Raw genomic sequence first — 19,045 nt, 5'->3', positions numbered from 1 at the left:
AGAGAGGTGCGAGGTCACTGGGCCAGGGAGCAGCAGACGCAAGATTTGAACCCAGATCTCAAGGCATCCTCACTTACCCTAGTCTGCCATCTGCTACACTCCACTGCAGGCTGTGAAGCCGAGACCAGGGCCCCGAAAACAGCTCAGCCCTGGGCCTCATGAGGCAGGATGACGTGAACCAGGGGGCGGGTGGGGGTTTTGTCTCCAGCTCTGGGGAGGGGGGCGCCCAGCAGGATACAGCCACTAAACCCAGGTCTCCAAAGTGGGACATGTATAAGACAACTCACTGGCATACGGAAAGGAAAACAACCCCTCTGTTTCTATTTTTTAATTCATCCTCTTTAAATCTCAACTTCTATGGATACATAATATATAAACCCAGTAATAAAGTGCCTATGGTTTATAAATAAATAAATATACACGCCCGGGGAGAAAAGTGCCCCCACCCCCACTGCAGTGGTCGCACCTTGCCTAGTAGGTGCTCAATAAACATTTCTGTGACTGGGGCAGCCAGGAGGCAGCTCTTCCTGTGTCAGGAGACACACCCACCCCCAGCACCTCCTCCAGCCGAGCCCACCTGCGCCCTGGGCAGGGCGTGGCTGCGGGCTTGGCTCCCCGCCTCCGCCTGGCCCTGGCGTGGCGCCACCTTCCACCGGGTGGCCGCGAGAATACCGGGAAGGGAGGCGGGTTCGCCTCGCAGCTGCTGAAAGCCCGCCCCACGGCTTCCCCGGGCTGCCCCCAGCTCCCTCCCTCCTCCCGCTCACCCTGGGGAGAGCGGCGCTGGGAGGCCCTGGGCGCCCTCAGGACGGGACGGGTCCCCGGGGGTGGCACGCGCCCAGGGTGGCCCAGCAGGGCGCGGCAGCCTGGGGCGCCCGAGCACCTGGCTCGGCCCTGCCCTCGGCCAAGGGCCGCCCCGGGCTCCAGCCGCCGAGCCTTGCGCCGCTCGGGAGCACGTTTCCAGTAAGCGCGAGCAAGTGGAGCCGGGCCGAGTTCCCGACAGCCCGGCCCGGGCACGGGCTCGCAGAGAAGCCGGGGCCGCGCCGCAGCGGCTGCATCCGCACCACGATCAATGCGCACCCGCGCCGCTCCGGGCTCCCTTCCTGCCCGTGGAGCGGCGGGGGTCCGAGGTCGTCCGAGCCCGCTGGGCTGCAGGTCCCCGCGCCCCCGCCCCATCATGCCTGGGTCCTCGGTCCCCTCATTCCTGTCTCTGCTGGACAAGCCTCCAACAGTCAGTCCTGCCCAAGAGCTGCGAGGAGCATTAACCTGGCGCGGTGCTTAGGGCCCTGCCTGGAGACCCCCGCATTGGCCACTGCTCTTACTATCAGATACCAAATCCTAGACTTTGGAAGCTGAACCAGCCAACCCCGTCTCTTAACTACAACTATTTTCTACGCTCACCCTTCCCCCAGCTTTTTTTTTTTTTTTTTTTTTTTTTGGCAGAGTCTTGCTATGTCACCCAGGTTGGAGTGCAGTGGTGCCATCTCGGCTCACTGCAACCTCCACCTCCCGGGTTCAAGTGATTCTTCCACCTCAGCCTCCCAAGTAGCTGGGACTACAGGCGCGCGCCAACACACCTAGCTAATTTTTGTATTTTTTGTAGAGATGAGGGTTCACCATGTTGGCCAGGCTGGTCTCGAACTCCTGACCTCAAATGATCCGCCCGCCTTGGCCTCCCAAAGTGCTGGGATTACAGGCATGAGCCACCATGCCCAGCCAGTGGCCTGTGTTTGTTACTGCCTGAGACTCCTCTCAAGGGCAGGGGCTGTGTCACGGGTATCTCCTATTGCAAGCTTGGTTCACGACCTGGCCTGCAGCGGGACGGCTGTATTATATACAGATGGGGTTACCCCAGGTAGAACCACGACCATATGAGGTGCTGGCCAAGGGGGAGGGATTATGGCTAGATGGTGGAAGGAGGAAGTTATCAGTAGAAACTATGGCAGAGTGAGGGACCACCATACACCTTTCCCCTTTATCCTGTTCATTTTTGTTTATGTTAACTAATTTCCTTTTTTCCCTCTTTTTTTTTCCTTACTATTCTACATAAAGTATAGGACCCAGGGTCACCACATAATGTTGTCCAGGCTGCACACTGCACAATTCCAAGAGGGCACTATTGGAAAAATCTATATTGCAAATGATACTTATGCCTCTGGGGGCCCTGGGGATGGGTGACTTTAATTAATCTCATGGGATTTCTGCCCAGAAGAGGAGTGAGCACCACCCACAGCTGGAGAGTGACTGATCAGAACATCAGGTTTTTCATTCTGGGGAGAGGGTGTGTGTGTGTGTGTGTGTGTGTGTGTGTGTTTGGGGCACAGTTGTATAGCATTAGGTGAAAGCTCTTGCTGCTTTTTATGCCATGGTGTGGAAGATCAGCAAGATGCTGGCTGGTGGAATCAGCTCCTTTAATCTTTTTTTTAGATGGTTGGTGTCTTGGTCCATTCATGCTGCTTTAGCAAAATACCTAGACTGGGTAATTTTCAAAGAACAGAAATGTATTTCTCACAGTTCTGGAGGCTGAGAAGTCCAAGATCATGGTGCTGGCAGGTTTGGTATTGGTGAGGGCTGCTCTCTGCTTCCAAGATGGTGACTTGGTGCTGCACCCTCCGGAGAGAATGAACACTGCATCCTTACAGGGCAGAAGGGATGGAAGGGCAAAAAATGAGCTGAATTGAACACTCTACAAAGCCTTTCTTTCTTTCTTTCTTTCTTTCTCTCTCTCTCTCTCTCTTTCTTTCTTTCGACAGAGCCTCGCCCTGTGTCACCCAGGCTGGAGCGCAGTGGCGCCATCTCAGCTCACTGCAACCTCTGCCTCTCAGGTTCAAGTGATTCTCCTGCCTCAGCCTTCCGAGTAGCTGAGATTGCAGGCCTGGGCCACCACACCCAGCTAACTTTTTGTATTTTTAATAGAGACGGGTCTCGCCATGTTGACCAGGCTGGTCTTGAACTCCTGACCTCAGGTGATCTGCCAGCCTTAGCCTCCCAAAGTGCTGGGATTATAGGCGTGAGCCACCACGTCCAGCCTTCAAAGCCTCTTTTATAAAGGTCTTAATCCCATTCACGAGGGAGAAGCTCTCCTGACCTAATCACCTCCCAAAGAACCCACCTCTTAACACTATTGCATGGAGTTATGATGGGGGTTACATTCAGACCACAGCAGTGGGAAAGCTAGAAACTCTTTCCCAGGTTCTCTCTAGATGTGACTTTCTCTCTGCAAATCAATGCGTTCTTGTGGGATTGGAAAGTGGAAGGAAGACAGACTCTTGTCTTTCTGCAGCTGCATGGGTATGAAAGTGGGTTCCAGCAGAAGCACTGGTTGGCAGTGGCTCCATTTCCCATTCTGCCATCTCAGTGCCTGATTTGTGGGTGTGGGAGTGGGGAGGATCGGGGACTGTGGTGGAGGCGTGGCCTTACCCCAGAAAGCTTTGACCTTCCATCTCTCCCAGTGATTGTTTTTCTCAAGCCCATGAATCTTTTCCAATGATTTTATGAATTCCTGATTCCTTATGTTAAAATCCCTTTTGGCTTGAACCACCTGAGGTGGATTCGCCTTGCACAGAACCCTGACAGGTACACAGTGCAAAATGCAGCAATGGGGCACATAGGTGCTGGCGCATCTGTCCAAAGGAACACTGGAAGGGAGAGAGCGAGAGCCCTTTCAAGGCTGATAGAGGACAGTCTGACAGTCTAATACATATTAAGGGATAAAAATCAAGGTGCGGAAGAGTGTGTATGGCATGCTATGATTTGTATGGGGGTAGAAAGAAGAAAGTTTGGCGGGGCGTGGTGGCTTATGCCTGTAATCCCCGCACTTTGGGAGGCTGAGGTGGGCGGATCACCTGAGGTCAGTAGCTTGAGACCAGCCTGGCCAACATAGTGAAACCCCATCTCTACTAAAAAAATATAAAAATTAGCCAGGTGTGGTGGTATGCACCTATAATCCTACCTACTCACTCAGGAGGCTGAGGCAGGAGAATCACTTGAACCCAGAAGGTGGAAGTTGCAGTGAGCCGAGATTGTACCACTGCACTCTAGCCTGGGCGACAGAGCGAGACTCCATCTCAAAAAAAAAAAAAAAAAGAAAGAAAGAAAGAAGAAAGTGTATATGTATATGCAAGCATTTGCTTTCATGTCCATAAAATATGCTAGGAAACGTACTTTTTTTTTTTTTTTTTTGAGATGGAGTCTTGTGTCACCCAGGCTGGAGTGCAGTGTGGCACGATCTCGGCTCACTGCAACCTCTGTCTCTGGGTTTAAGCAATTCTCCTACCTCAGCCTCCCGAGTAGCTGGGATGACAGGTGCCCACCACCACGCCCAGCTAATTTTTGCATTTTTTTTTTTTTTTTTAGTAGAGATGGGGTTTCACTACGTTGGCCAGGCTGACCTCAGGTGATCCGCCCACCTCGGCCTCTCACCCTGGCCTCCTAAAGTGCTGGGATTACAGGCGTAAGCCACTGTGTCCGGCCTGGAAACATACATTTTAAAAAACGATTTGTGAGCCAAGTGCAGTGGCTCATGTTTATAATTCCAGCAATTCTTGAGGCTGAGGCAGGAGGATGTCTTGAGGCCAGAACGACCTGGGCACCATAGTGAGACCCTCATCTGTACAAAAAATAAGAAAATTAGCTGGGTGTGCTGGTGTGTGCCCGTGGTCCCAGCTACTTCAGAGGCTGAGGCAAGAGGATTGCTTGAGCCCAGGAGGTGGAGGCTGCAGTAAGCTGTGATTGTGCCACTGCACTCCAGCCTAAGCAACAGAAGGAGACCCTGTCTCAAAAAGTAAAAAATAAAGGCTGGGCATGGTGGCTCAGGCCTATAATCCCAGCACTTTGGGAGGCCAAGGTGGGCGGGTCACTTGAGGTCAGGAGTTCGAGATCAGCCTGGCCAACGTGGTGAAACTCCGTCTCTACTAAAACTACAAAAATTAGCCGGGCGTTATGGCGCATGCCTGTAATCACAGCTACTCGGGAGGCTGAGGCGGGAGACTCGCTTGAATCAGGAAGGCAAATGTTATAGTGAGCCAAGATCGCACCACTGCATTCCAGCCTGGGTAACAGAGCAAGACTCTGTCTCAAAAAATAAATAAATAAATAAATAATTGAAAAAAAAAATAAAAAGAAGGCAACTCTGCAAGTCAAGAAGAGAAACTTCACGGGGAACTGAGTCAGCCACAACCTTGACCTTGAACTTCCCAGCCTCCAGAATGGTGAGAAATAAGTGTCTGTTGTTTCAGCCCCCAGTGTGGAATTTTGTTCTGGCAGCTCATGCTAAGACACTCTCCCTCCACCTTCAAAGTCAGCAGGCAGGGATCTCTCAGACCTCCTTCTTAGAAGGACCCCTGTGATTACATTTAGGGCCCACCCAGATGATCCAGGATAATCTCCCATCTCAAGAGCCTAAGCTTCATCACATTTGCAAAGTCCCTTTTGCCATATAAGGTGACATAGTCACAGGTTCCAGGAATCGGGACATGGGCACCTTTGGGGGCCCATTATTCGGCCGATCGCAAAGACAGACATTTCTCAGTAAACTCTTTTCACGACTGAATTTTGAACCATATGAATGTATTACCCATCTAAAAATACAATGTCAATCAAAGGAGACTGGAGGTGAGACCAGAGGTACCCAGGACAGGGACAGGAAGCTCAGGGGTCATTCCCCTCCCTGGCCCTCAGTTCTCTCCTCTCTAAGTGAGGGATTAAGACCCATGACTCCTGGGTCTGGAGGACTTTGAGCCTCGAGCTTCCCTCCTGATGGGGGTGGTGATGTTTCCTACCTGCCAGGGCTGCTGCAGGGATTAAATCCTGCAACAAGAAGCATCCCAAATCCTCCCAAGCAATAACTGCTGGTCATGGAAAAGCTGGTAACAGAAGCCATTCTTAACTCAGCTGCTCTACTCTCCCTAGCATGGAAAGAAAGCTGCCCCTCAGGCCGGACACGGTGACTCACGCTCATGCTGTAATCCCAGCATTGTGGGAGGTCAAGGTGGGAGGATCGCTGGAGCCCAGGAGTTCGAGGCCAGCCTGGGCAACAGAGTGAGACCCTGTCTCTAAAAAAAGGTTGGGTGTGGTGGCTCATGCTTGTAATCCCAGCACTTTGGGAGGCCAAGGCAGGTGGATCACTTGAGGTCAGGAGTTCAAGACCAGCCTGGCTAACATGGTGAAAACCTGTCTCTACTAAAAATACAATAATTAGCTGGGCATGGTGGTGGGTGCCTGTAATCCCAGCTACTTGGGAGGCTGAGGCAGGAGAATTGTTTGAACCCGGGAGGTGGAGGTTGCAGTTAGTGGAGATCACACCATTGCACTCCAGCCTGGACGAGAAGAGCAAAACTCGGTCTCAAAAAAAAAAAAAGAAAAGAAAAGAAAATTAGCCAGGCATGGTGACGTGCTGCACCTATAGTCCCAGCCACTTGGAAACCTGAGATGGGAGGATCACTTGAGCCCTGGAGTTCCAGGGAGCAGTGAGGTATGATCATGCCACTGCACTCTGGCCTGGATGACAGAGTGAGATCCTATCTCTAAAAAAAAAAAAAAAAAAAAAAAAAAAAGAAGCAAGCTGTTCCCCCGCCCGTGTCCTATTTTCTACAGAGGGCCTGTGCCTTCACGGTGCCCCCCTTCCGGGAAGGACTCGCCTGGGAGTGAGTTTGGCACCCAGTACAGGTCCTGGCCACACCCGGGACTCTTCTCAGCACAGTGACTGACAGCAGCACCCTGGAGTCAGATGGAACTGGATTGGAATCTAGTTCTGTCCCCAGGCTGCCATCCAGTGCTGTTGCCTGCTCAGCACCCACTTTCTCTTCTCTTTGTGGAAGCATCTTGGATTCTACCCCTTCATCACTCTTGCTGTATGTGGCTCAGCGATGGGCCTGACCTGCTCAGGGCTGGTCAAACACCGCATGCACACCCTAGTTGGTCCAGACCCGGTTGGGACAAGACCCAACCAGGCCAAGGCCATCCAGCCCCGGCCTTTTCCTGGAGCTGGCTGCAGCCATTTCTGCTACCGCTAGAGAGAGCCTGCCTGAGGGCGAAGCTATGGCAGAGGAAAGCCGACCTGGGAGATGGAGAGGGACAGTTTCCAGGTGACATCACTGGTGAATCTAGATCCAACTGTGCCTGAGGCCCAGCTCTAAGCCTTTGTGTTTCTGCATGGGAGCCAGTGATACAACCTCCTGCTAATTGCTTCGGGCAGTTTACACTGGCTTCAAAAAGCCCTGGCTGACAGCTATTAGCTGACCTTGGACACTTCACTTGTGTGTTCCGTGCCTCAGAAGGAATATTCCCTGAAAATAATAATACCTACTCATAAGGCTGTTGTGATTCTTAAATAAGATAATGAATTAAAGTCCCTAATTAGGCCGGGCATGGTGGCGCTCACCTGTAATCCCAGCTACTAGGGAGGCTGAGGCTGGAGAATCACTTGAACCCAGGAGTTCAAGACCAGCCAGGGCAACGTAATGGAATTGCATCTCAATTTTTTTTAAGTACCTAATTTGGTGTCTGGCACACAGTAAGCTCAATTGTGGTACCAGAGTCATTATTTTGTAGGAATTGGGTTAGAATCATGTTAACCAACAAACGTGCATGATTCAAATGGGACTATTCCATCTTAACTGGGAAAAAAGCCTAATTGTTGGGAAACCAGTCTTCTTAGCTCTCACTGCTGTAGAAAACTGGATGGAGATCAGGAAATGCATGTCATGGGGCACCCAGTCATGAGGCAGAGACCCTCTCCCTCTTTAGAGCCAGCAAGGCTCTGGCCAAAGAAAACCCCCATCAGTAACTGTGGACATACCTTAAAATGACTGCAAGCAGTCACCCTTGGGTAAGCTCCTCTGGGCATGTAGGCAAAGCCTAGGAGTTTCTTCTAGCCAATAGAACACGGCAAAGATGATGACATCACTCTCATGATTACATTACATTAGAAAAGACTCCAACTTAGCTGACTGGACTGAGATCCTCCTCATTGGCTTGGTGGAGTAGGCAGCCACATTGAGGAAGCCCATGAGGTGAGGAAGTGCTGGCAGCCTCTAGGAACTGCAGGTGGTCTCCAGCCTCCAGCCAGCAAAAACCTCAGGCCCTTAGGCACACAGCAGCAAGAATATGAAATCTGACAATAACTAGCATGGCTCTGGAAGCAGAGCCTTCCTCGGTTGAGCCTCCAGATGAGAACCCAGCCCAGCTGACACCTTGTTTGCAACCTGAGGAGATCTGAAACAGAGGATGCAGTAAAGCAGTTTCCAGACTTATCCTTTTTTTTTTTTTTTAACTTTTTTTTAAGAGTCAGAGTCTCACTCTGTCACTCAGGCTGTCGTCACTCAGGCTGGAGTGCAGTGACACAATCACTGCTCACTGCAACCTCGAACTCTTAGGCTCAAGTGATCCCCTGGCCTCAGCCTCCTAACTGGGACTGCAGGCACACACCACCATGCCCAACTAATTTTTTCTTTTCTTTTTTTTTTTGTAGAGGTGTAGTCTCACCATGTTGCCCAGGCTGGCCTTGAACTCCTGGCCCCAAGCAATCCTCCTCCCTTGGCCTCCCAAAGTGCTTGCATTACAGGCATAAGCCACTATGCCCAGCCAGTTTCCAGACTTCTGACCTGAAGAAATTGTGATATAGTAAATGTGCGTGTTGTCTTAGTTCCTGAGTGCGTGATAATGTGTTGCACAGCATAGAAAACTAACACAGCAGCCTGCAGAGGACTGAGCTTTCAGAGAGGAGACACACCGGGATGCCTTTCTCAATGAGTCGGGGTACAATTTCCCAAGGTATTCTGGTTACTTTGGCTATATTACAGTTCACCCCAAAACCTGGTCATTTAAAGCAATAATCATTTATTACCTCTCACAGTTTTGGTGGGTCAGGAATTCAAGAGTGGTTTGGCTGGGTGGTTCTGGCCTGAGGTCTCTCATGAGGCTGCAGTGAGATGGTGGTCAGAGCTGCAGTCATCTGAAGGCTTGACTGGGGCTGGAGGATCGCTTCTAAGGTGGCTCATTCATGCAGCTGTTGGCTGGTGGCCTCAGTTCCTCTTTACATGAGCTTCTCCGTGGGGTAGTTGAACTTCCTCGTGGAATAGTGACTGGCTTCCCCCAGAGTATCTGAGCTGAAAGACCAGATGGAAGAGGCGATGCTTTATGCCCTAGACCTGAAGTCATGTGAATCTGCCTGATTCGGTGTGGGAGGGGCTACCCAAGGGCATGAATACCAGAGACAAGGATCTGGGGGGCCATCTTGGAGACTGGTCACCACACAAGGGATGGCAGTGGGGACAGAGGCTGCAGGGGCTGGAAGAGGGCTCTGGAAGGAAGACAGGGAACCTTGACAGGTGGGAGAAGCTCAAAGTGTGAGACCATCCCCAGCTTCCTTCTCATGTTGTTCAGGGCATGAACTAGCTGGAGAAGATCTCGGCTCCCACCCTAGTTTCTCCACCCAGCGTTGGAGTGTGTGCTAATCTCATAATGACCTCGTCATCCACCACCAGGCAGTGAAGCAGGGTCAGCAGCCCCTGGGACAGGGAGTGGTCCACAGGAAGGAGGAGCAGCCTCCTCCACCATGGAGCTCTCCAAATAGGGCCCTGGACCCCTCAGGCACTGGGGCCTGCAGAAGTGGCACAGGAAGGGAGGGAGACCCATCTGGGCCACTCCTCATTGCTGCACAGTCCTCACTCTTTACCTCCACCTCGAAGCTTCTATCTCACCACCTGTTGCTGCGGGAGAGCCTAATTGGCTCCCTCGGTCTAGAGATGGGGAGCTGGGGAGTGGGAAGGGGTTAAGGTGTGTTGGGGGCCGTGATCAGCTAGGCTTCTATATTGCTGTCTCATGTAAGCCTGGACGGATCCTGCACTGGGTATTGTCCACCCACATCATCCAGATGAGGAAACTGAGGCTCCACGGTGGAGCCACCTGCCCTAAATCCTGCGCTGAGTCATACAGGCCCAGAGAAAAAGCTGCCCTGACATCCTTCAGAGGTGCAGATCAAGGTTCCTGCACACAGGGCCTCCTTCCATGAGCTGAGCTCAGGCCAGGGGAGGAAGGAGGGAGGGAAATGGACTGGGGAGGTCACTGCCCAGCAGGAAGCAGCCAGGACCCGGGGCTGAGAGCCACAAGAGGGCTAGAAACCTCTTGACCCCAGCTCTGATGCCGTGGCCCAGCCTGCTGGCTGCTGTCCGTCCCTGCATTGATCTGGGGAGCGGCCCAGGCTTCCTGGAACCATCCTGCTGTCTCCCTAGGGCTGGCCTGACCTGGCTACAGCAAGGAGGTCCCCACACTGGCAGGATGGGGGAACCCCCAGAGCTGGCTGGACATCCGGATCTCTCTCTGCCACCTGGAAGGCCCTGGGCTCAGGATCCTGGACAAAACATCCTTGTGCTTCAAGGGGAGGGCTTGGCGGGAATGCCGAGGCCAGATGTGAGTAGGAAGACAGCTGTGGACCCGGAATTCCAGAGGGGAAGAACAGGATGCTCTCCCGGTCAGGCAGCTGGGGTAGATCTGATATGCCCCGTGAGAGGATTCGGAAGGCCAGGTGGGGCCCTAGGGAAGGAGATAGGAGGAGGCCACAGAAGCGAGAAAAAGTCAAGAACCCTACAGAGCCCTGAGGGCCCCGCTCCTCCCACTCGTGCCTGGTCCTCGCTGCCCCTATCCTGAGCTGGCTGCATCCCACACAAGTGTCCCCACCACAGCCCCACGAGGTGAGGGATTCTCCTGCTCCCCAGTTCCAGGCTTGTGAGAGACGGAGTCAGTGGCCCAGCTCACTCCTCCCGTGAGTAGTCACGGGCCTGGAACCCAATACGACGGCTGACCTCCCAGAGGATGCCTGACCTCACTTAAACACCAGAACCGTGGCTGGGCACGGTGGCTCACGCCTGTAATCCCAGCACTTTGGGAGGCCGAGGCAGGCAGATCACGAGGTCAGGAGATCGAGACCATCCTGGCTAACACAGTGAAACCCTGTCTCTACTAAAAATACAAAAAAATTAGCCGGGCGTGGTGCGCGCCTATGGTCCCAGCTACTCAGGAGGCTGAGGCAGGAGAATGGTGTGAACCCAGGAGGCAGAGGTTGCAGAGAGCCCAGTTCACGCCACTGCACTCCAGCCTGGGCGATAGAGCGAGACGCTGTCTCAAAATAAATAAATAAATAAATAAAACCACCAGAACCGTTACAGATCCTGCCCCATAGTTGAAGAAAGTGAGACTCAGGGGGTCCCATCACGTGCCCAGGTGCCCACCACTGTCCAGTGCCAGGCTTAACATCTAGGCTCCTCACTGCAGCCAGAAGGTGCAGCCCAGGTGTCCACCTGCGGATCAGTGGGGAAACGACACGGAGAAACTCACACGGAGGAGCAGCCGGCCCTGGAAGGGAGAGAAACCCAGGCACAGGCTGCAGCATGGGTGAGCCCTGGGGACGCTGTGCTGATTGCCATAAGCCCAGCAGAAAAGGACAAATGCCGTGCACAAATGCCGTGTGACTCTGCTGACAGGAGGTCCCTAGCGCAGTCAGATTCGTGGGGACAGAAAGCAGATTGGTGGGGGCAGGGGCTGGGGGCAGGGGGAATGGGGCATTGGTGTTTAATGGGAACAGACGTTCACTTGGGAAGATGAAAGCACTCTGGAGATGGGTCATAGTGATGGTTGCACAACAATGGGAATGTGCTTAATGTCACAGAACTGTACGTTTAAAAGTGGTAAAAATGGGGCCAGGTGTGGTGGCTCTCACCTGTAATCCCAGCACTTTGGGAGGCCGAGACAGGAGGATCACTTGAGGTCAGAAGTTCGAGACCAGCCTGGCCAACATGGTGAAACCCCATCTCTACTAAAACTACAAAAATTAACCAGGTGTGGTGGTGGGTGCCTGTAATCCCAGCTGCTTGGGAGGCTGAGGCAGGAGAATCGCTTGAGCCTGGGAGGCAGAGGTTGCAGTGAGCTGAGATCATGCCACTTCACTCCAGCCTGGGCAACAGAGCAAGACTCCACCTCAAAAACAAACGGCCAGGCGCAGTGGGTCATGCCTGTAATCCCAGCACTTTGGGAGGCCGAGGCAGGTGGATCACTTGAGCTCAGGGGTTCAAGACCAGCCTGGCCAACATGGTGAAACCCTGTCTTTACTAAAAATTCAAAAATTAGCTGGGCATGGTGGCAAGCGCCTGTAATCTCAGCTACTTGGGAGGCTGAGGCAGGAGAATCTCTTGAACCCAGGAGCCAAGATCATGCCACTACACTCCAGCCTGGGCAACAAGAGCAAAACTCTGTCTCAAATAAATAAATAAATAAATGTGATAAAATGGTAGATTTTATGTTATGTATATTTGAGCACAGTAAAAATAATTAAATAAAAACAAATAATTAAATAAAAATATAATAGAATAAAAATATAAGTAAATAAAAAATTAAATTTTAAAAATTAAAAAAAAAACTAAGAAAACCCCAGGCATCAACCTCAGTGTCCATGGTGCAGCCACCAGAGTGCATGGGGGCACGCCTTTGCTTCTCGCCGACCCTACAGTCCCTGGGCAGAGGCGTGGGGATGGGGGTGGGGACAGCCAATGCAGTGGCACATGCGATCCCAACGTCTGGCGGCCTTGGAGATGTTCTGGCATAAGCACTCTGGGCAGCTGCCCTGGGGCAGGTTGTGGGTTAGGGATCCAGACCCAAACTGCCCATGCCACCCCTCTGGCCACCCCACCAGACGGGGATGTCTAGAGAAGACAGGGCCTGCCCAAGGTTTGCACTCACCCACACATCCTAGGACACTCGGGCACATGCGGGCCTGTGACCCCTCGTCTCAACGCAGCCACCTATGCTAGCGTGTGCACACGCACGTGCACACCCCCCACAATGAACGCTTGCGCACACACAGGCACTCACACATGTCCCTTCCCTCCCAGGTCACCTGAGCTCCCAGGATGGCACTAGGGAGAGGCGGTCCTTGTTCCAGGTACCCAGCGTCCCTGATAGCATCATGTCCAAGCTGCACCCACCCACCTCAGCTGCCGCCCTAAGCAGTAGCTCAGTTGACTCCAAACACGGACTCCCCGGTGCAGGGCAGGCCAGGCCTGGGACCCATCCCAGACACTGCCTGGAAATAGGAGGCCAAAGAATGCAGTGGGCAGCTTGGCAGAGAGACAGAGCCAGTGGGGCTTCCAGTAATTCACCCACCCTGCCCTGCCCTCGCCCACCGGTCCAGAGTCTCGGCCAATAGATGCCCGGTCCCAGACTCCAGCCCCCAGAAGTGCCCAGCCCCACATAGCTGCTCCAGGGCCCTCAGGGTCACCACCCCTGCCCCCAGAGACAACAGGACAGGGAACTAGATCCCGGTCCTTTCTGGGCTATGCCGGGAAGAGGGTATCTTTAGCTTCCCTTCCTGGAAGTCCACTGGCTCCCATCCACAGTGGCCCGGTGGCATTGCCTGCAGACCCTGGCCACCCTCTCGCATGGATTCCCTGGGAAAGGAGCAGCCACCCCAAGAGGTTTGCTTGGTCAGCTTGTCCCCAACTCTGGCTTGGGACCCTATGCCTAGCCAGGACAAGAGACACACTGGCGTGGCCCTCCTTCCTTCCCCTGCCCATTGGTTGGTCCCCGTGAAGCTGGCAACATGACGACATCGACTGAAATACTTCCTGTCCCCAGAGTCTCATTCGAGGGACTTAGATAGCATCAAGGTGAATCCTTTTTTACCAGAGGAGAAGACTAAGGCCCAGAGAGGGGACAGAGAGTCATATACAGCAGCTGGGTGAAATCCCCCGGAGAAGGGCTTGGAGTCCCCAGAGGCAAGAAAAGCCTGGGACAAGGAGAAATGGCACCCATGGTGGAGCTTCTCCCGGGAAGAGGACCTGGGGTGGAAGAGGTGATTCAGGGCTGAGTCAGCCACAGGGCGCAGAGAAGACAGGCCGATGTGGAGCTGGGGTGGCCCTAGGGCCTCGCGTCAGAAGCGAATAACCCAGGAACAGGATGAGGTGAAGGGAGCCCGCCGGCCCAGGAAGGAATGAGGAGGCCTGACCTCGTTTCCTGGCCCAGAGAAGACATGTAGCAGACTGGTTAAACTGAGTCTGTGGCCTGCTCTCCATGTGATCCATGAGGCTGGGATGAGGGAAAGATACAGGAAGCCGTACTCTCTGCTCCCTATGGGCTCACAGTTTGTGGGGGAACAGGAAGGTGGAGGGGACAGGCGAGAAGAGAAGCAGTGATTGCCCAGCGACCCATGACAAAGGCAGGGCATGAGACACGTCAGAAAAAAGGAGTAACCCCGGGGCACGCCTGCCCCTGGCTGCTGGGACACCTGGGAAGCCCCTGAGGAGGAGGTGGCCTTAGGGAGGCGCCTGGCTGGATGGACACAGTATCCATGGCAGACCTGGGGGCCAGGGGCTCCGGGACTGGAACAGCATAAACGCAAGGGGTGACAGGGCATGGGAGGCCAGCAAGTCTCACCCCTGTGATTTCAGCCGCAAGAAACGAAGAGTTCAACCATAAAGACAGTCATTGTGGCCAGGCGAGGTGGCTCACACCTGTAATCCCAACACTTTGGGAGGCCGAGGTGGGTGGATCACCTGAGGTCAGGGGTGAAGACCAGCCTGGCCAACATGGCGAAACCCCATCTCTACTAAAAATACAAAACTTAGCCAGGCATGGTGGTGCACGCCTGTAATCCCAGCTACTTGGGAGGCTGAGGCAGGAGAATCACTTGAACCCAGGAGGCAGAGGTTGCAGTGAGCTGAGATCAGGCCACTGCACTCCAGCCTGGGTGACGGAGCGAGACTCTGTCTCAAAAAAAAAAAAAAAAAAAAAAGACAGTCATTGTTTACATAACAAAACGTCCAGGCTGGGCATGGTGGTTCATGCCTGTAATCCCAGCACTTTGGGAGGCTGGGTGGGTGGATCATCTGAGGTCAGGAGTATGAGACCAGCCTGGCCAACATGATGAAACACTGTCTCTACTAAAAATACAAAAATTACCTGGGTGTGGTGGCACGTGCCTATGATCACAGCTACTCGGGAGGCTGAGGCAGCAGAATTGCATGAACCCAGGAGGCGGAAGTTACAGTGAGCCGAGATCACGCCATTGCGCTCCAGCCTGGACTACAAGAGCAAAACTCTGTCTCAAAAAATAAAAAATAAAAAAAGTCCAGAGGTTAGCATCTTGACAAGGGCCCAAGTTTCTATCTTCCCGTGTCATCAATTTAAGGTGACCAATCATACTGATTTGCTTAGTACTTTCCCAGTTTTGGTGCTGAAAGTCCTGTATTGAAGGAAGTCAAACGGATTTCTGCTCACCCTAGTATTAGGGCTACTGCTTCTCATGGGCACAAAGGAGCTGCCACAGCTCCAAGCATCACCCCCTCACGTAACAGTGCAGTGAGCAAGAGCAAATGCCCTCCAGAAATCCCCCCCGCTACATTTCACTGGCAGACCTGGGTGAGGGTGACATAGGCACTCTAGATCAATCACTGGCAAAAGAGCAGGGGGTTGGTAGGACCAGCTTAGGCCCATCTCTATTCATCCCGTGGGGCTGGAGCTCTGTTAATGAGGAGGAGGGGGAATGGCTGTTAGGCATCACCCGAAAGCATGAGGCCCTGCTGGACGAGCCACACTGCAGCGGCTCAGCCTGCAGGGTAAGAGCACGGACCAGGAGGTAGGTGGGCCCTGCTCCGAGTCCCAGCTCTGCCCCCACTGAGCTGCGTGCAAGTCCCCCTTGAGCAGGTCCTCCGTGAGTAAGTTCTTGAAACGGGGGATAAGAAGAGTGGCTGCCCACGCAGAGTTCTTGGGAAAATAAAATAAAATAATGCAGAAAAGTGCTGAGCACAGCATTTAGCAAACACGAAACAAGAGGATGGCTGGTGTCCGTGTAGACTGGCCACGCTCCACTATTTTTAGTTCAACTCCGAAGACAGTGATGGTCCCACGCAGATGCCTGCTCTTGTGCCTCAGTCTCCCACCAGACAGGTGTGCTGGAGGGTGGGTCAGGAAGGGCCTTCTTGAGGAGGCTCAAATCTGCTTGGCTTAATCTTTTTGTTCCTGCACAACACTTTTTTTTTTTTTTTTTTGAGACGGAGTCTCTGTTGCCCAGGCTGGAGTGCAGTGGTGCGATCTCTGCTCACCACAACTTCCACCTCTCCAGTTCAAGAGATTCTCCTGCATCAGCCTCCTGAGTAGCTGGGATTACAGGCACCACCACCATGCACCAAGCCCAGCTAATTTTTGTATTTTTAGTAGAGATGGGGTTTCACCATGTTGGCCAGGCTGGTCTCAAACTCCTGACCTCAGGTGATCCGTCCACCTCGGCCTCCCAAAGTGATGGGATTATAGGCGAGAGCCACCACACCAGGCCTTTTTCTTGATTTAGAATTATTTCTTTGGGGTGCTTTCCCAGAAGAGTAAATATTGAATCAAAGAGAATAGACTTTTTTTTTTTCTTTTCTTTCTTTGAGACAAGGTCTTGCTTTGTCACCCAGGCTGGAGTGCAGTGGCACAGTCTCAGCTCACTTCAACCTCCACCTCCTGGGTTCTAACGATTCTCCTGCGTCAGTCTCCCGAGTAGCTGGGACTACAGGCATGCACCATCAAGCCTGACTAATTTTTATATTTTTAGTAGAGACTGGGTTTCACCATGTTGCCCAGACTGGTCTTGAACTCCTGGGCTCAGGTGATTCGCCTGCCTAGGCCTCCTAAAGTGTTGGGATTACAGGCGTGAGCCATAGCGCCCGGCCAAAAAGAATAGACTTTTAAATGATACTTTATTTAAATTATTTATGGATTACTTAATCTTTGTAGAAAGCTAGAAAATACGGAGAAGCATTAAAAAGAAAATTAAGGGCCGGGCGCGGTGGCTCACGCCTGTAATCCCAGCACTTTGGGAGGCCAAGGCGGGCTGATCACGAGGTCAGGAGATCGAGACCATCCTGGCTAACACAGTGAAACCCCATCTCTCCTAAAAATACAAAAAATTAGCCAGGCGTGGTGGCGGGCGCCTGTAGTCCCAGCTACTTGGGAGGCTGAGGCAGGAGAATGGCGTGAACCCGGGAGGCGGAGGTTGCAGTGAGCCGAGATCGTGCCACTGCACTCCAGCCTGGGCCAAAAAAAAAAAAAAAAAAAAGAAGTGACAGGTAGCTATAACCTGTATGGTAGAGCTCAGTGGCCCTGGCAGGCTGAGCCCCCAGGAAGAAAGAAGAGAGGGACAGAGGCTTGGCGGGGGAAAGGACAGTTTCACTTTCCACAGTACCTATTCTGTAATGTTTCTATTTTTAAAATAATGAGAAAGTGTTTCTCTTCTAAATGGAAAACAAACAAAACATGATGATCATTTTTTTGTTTTTTAAAAAGAATTCTATAAAGAACACCAAAGCTTAGCATTTGTTGTGGTCTTTTTAAAGCGGTAACTGCTGGGGTGGCCCCAGGTACAAAGTCCAGGAGGACTCCTGCTCCACTGGGGACCTCTCCCCACTGCTTGTGGGGGTGCTGTGTTTGGGTGGGGAGGACAGAGCCAGAGTAGGTCCCCATCAGGAGTGGCAGGCTGAGGAGAGGCTGAGTGAGGGCCAGGGGCTTAGTCTGCTCAGGCTGCTATGACAAAATACTTTCTTATTTATTTATTTAGAGATGGTGTTTCACTCTTGTCTCCCGGGCTGGAGTGCAATGGCGTGATCTCGGCTTACTGCAACTTCTGCCTCCCAGGTGCAAGCGATGCTCCTGCCTCAGCCTCCTGAGTAGCTAGGATTACATGCGTGTGCCACCAGGCCCAGCTAATTTTTATATTTTTAGTAGAGACGGGGTTTCACCATGTTGGCCAGAATGGTCTCAATCTCTTGACCTGGTGATCCACCCGCCTTGGCCTCCCAAAGTGCTAGGATTACAGGCGTGAGGCAGCGCGCCCGGACTGACAAAATACTTTAGACTGGGTAATTTTCTAACGACAGAAATTCATTGCTCACAGTGCTGGAGGCTGCGAAGTCCACCATCAAAGCACTGGCCGATCTGGTGTCTGGCGAGGACCCATTCCTTACAAACGGCACCTTCTTGCTGTGTCCTCATGTGGCGGAAGGGGAAACATGCTCCCTCAAGCCTCTTTTATAAGGGCATGAATCCCATTTGTGAGGGTGAAGCCCTCATGACTTAACCAGCCCCCTAAGGCCCTACCTCTTAGTACTATCCCATTAGGCATTAAGTTCCAACACATGAATCTGCGGGACACCAGCATTCAGACCACAGCAGTCACAAGCCATGAAGAAGGCGGCAAGACTCAGCCCCAGGGCCGAGGCCTGTGCTCTCCTGTGAACTCCAGCTCCTGGCATGGAACCTGGAGTGTCCAGGTGCTTTATTGTTTGCTGAATGAATAAACAAGTGTATGGATTTGGGGCAGTGTGATTGAGACATCAAGACTCGACTCAAGGCCAGGCGTGGTGGCTCACGCCTGTAATCCCAGCACTTTGGGAGGCCGAGGCAGGTGGATTGCTTGAGATCAAGAGTTCGAGACCTGCCTGGACAACATGGTGAAACCCAAAAATTAGCCAGACGTGGTGGCAGGTGCCTGTAATCTCAGCTATGCGAAGAGACTGAGGCAGGAGAATCGCTTGAAGTCGGGAGGCAGAGGTTGCGGTGAGGCGAGATTGTGCCCCTGCACTCCAGCCTGGGCAACAGAGTGAGACTGTCTCAAAAAAAGAGGCTCCACCCAAGAAGCCAGAGGGACCCCCAGAGGGAGGTTTCCATGCCAGCAGAGGTGGGGTGGCAGAGGGCAGTGCTTGGGTGGTGCAGCTTGCTGGGTGCTAAGAAGACCTCCCTGCCTGGCTCCAGGCCCGGCTCAGAGCCCACCTTCTCCTCCAGGTGGTAGCTCCTCTTCACCTCTCCCTTTTCTGTGTCACTTGAATATTTTAATGCCTGGGGGAGGTTTTGTGCTTTCCAAGGAAGACTTAGTGACTTGAATTTGAATTGAGTCAAGGCTGGCCACGGTGGCTCATACCTGTAATCCCAGCACTTTGGGAGGCCGAGGTGGGAGGATTGCTGGAGCCCAGGAGTTTGAGACCAGCCTGGACAAAATAGTAAGACCCTATCGACAAAAAAAAGA

General features: G+C 52.8%; 3 annotated features.

The window, feature by feature from the left end:
* Positions 572–1,041: a silencer, noted in NCBI's record as "silent region_9056". NCBI's record gives its function as "represses an Ori minimal core promoter by ATAC-STARR-seq in GM12878 lymphoblastoid cells {active_cell/tissue: GM12878}" and the evidence as "EXISTENCE:reporter gene assay evidence [ECO:0000049][PMID:35858748]".
* Positions 6,439–6,661: a silencer, noted in NCBI's record as "fragment chr17:76304459-76304681 (GRCh37/hg19 assembly coordinates)". NCBI's record gives its function as "represses an EF-1alpha promoter that drives an FKBP-Casp9 reporter gene in an ReSE screen in K562 erythroleukemia cells {active_cell/tissue: K562}" and the evidence as "EXISTENCE:reporter gene assay evidence [ECO:0000049][PMID:32094911]".
* Positions 12,745–13,263: an enhancer, noted in NCBI's record as "H3K4me1 hESC enhancer chr17:76297857-76298375 (GRCh37/hg19 assembly coordinates)". NCBI's record gives its function as "activates a minimal SCP1, AML or CMV promoter by ChIP-STARR-seq in naive H9 embryonic stem cells {active_cell/tissue: H9 hESC(naive)}" and the evidence as "EXISTENCE:reporter gene assay evidence [ECO:0000049][PMID:30033119]".

The sequence above is a fragment of the Homo sapiens genome, chromosome 17 (genome assembly GCF_000001405.40).
Source record: "Homo sapiens chromosome 17, GRCh38.p14 Primary Assembly".
Taxonomy (NCBI): domain Eukaryota; kingdom Metazoa; phylum Chordata; class Mammalia; order Primates; family Hominidae; genus Homo; species Homo sapiens.
Note: the sequence above shows the minus strand (reverse complement) of the source record. Positions and strands in the feature narration are given on the sequence as shown.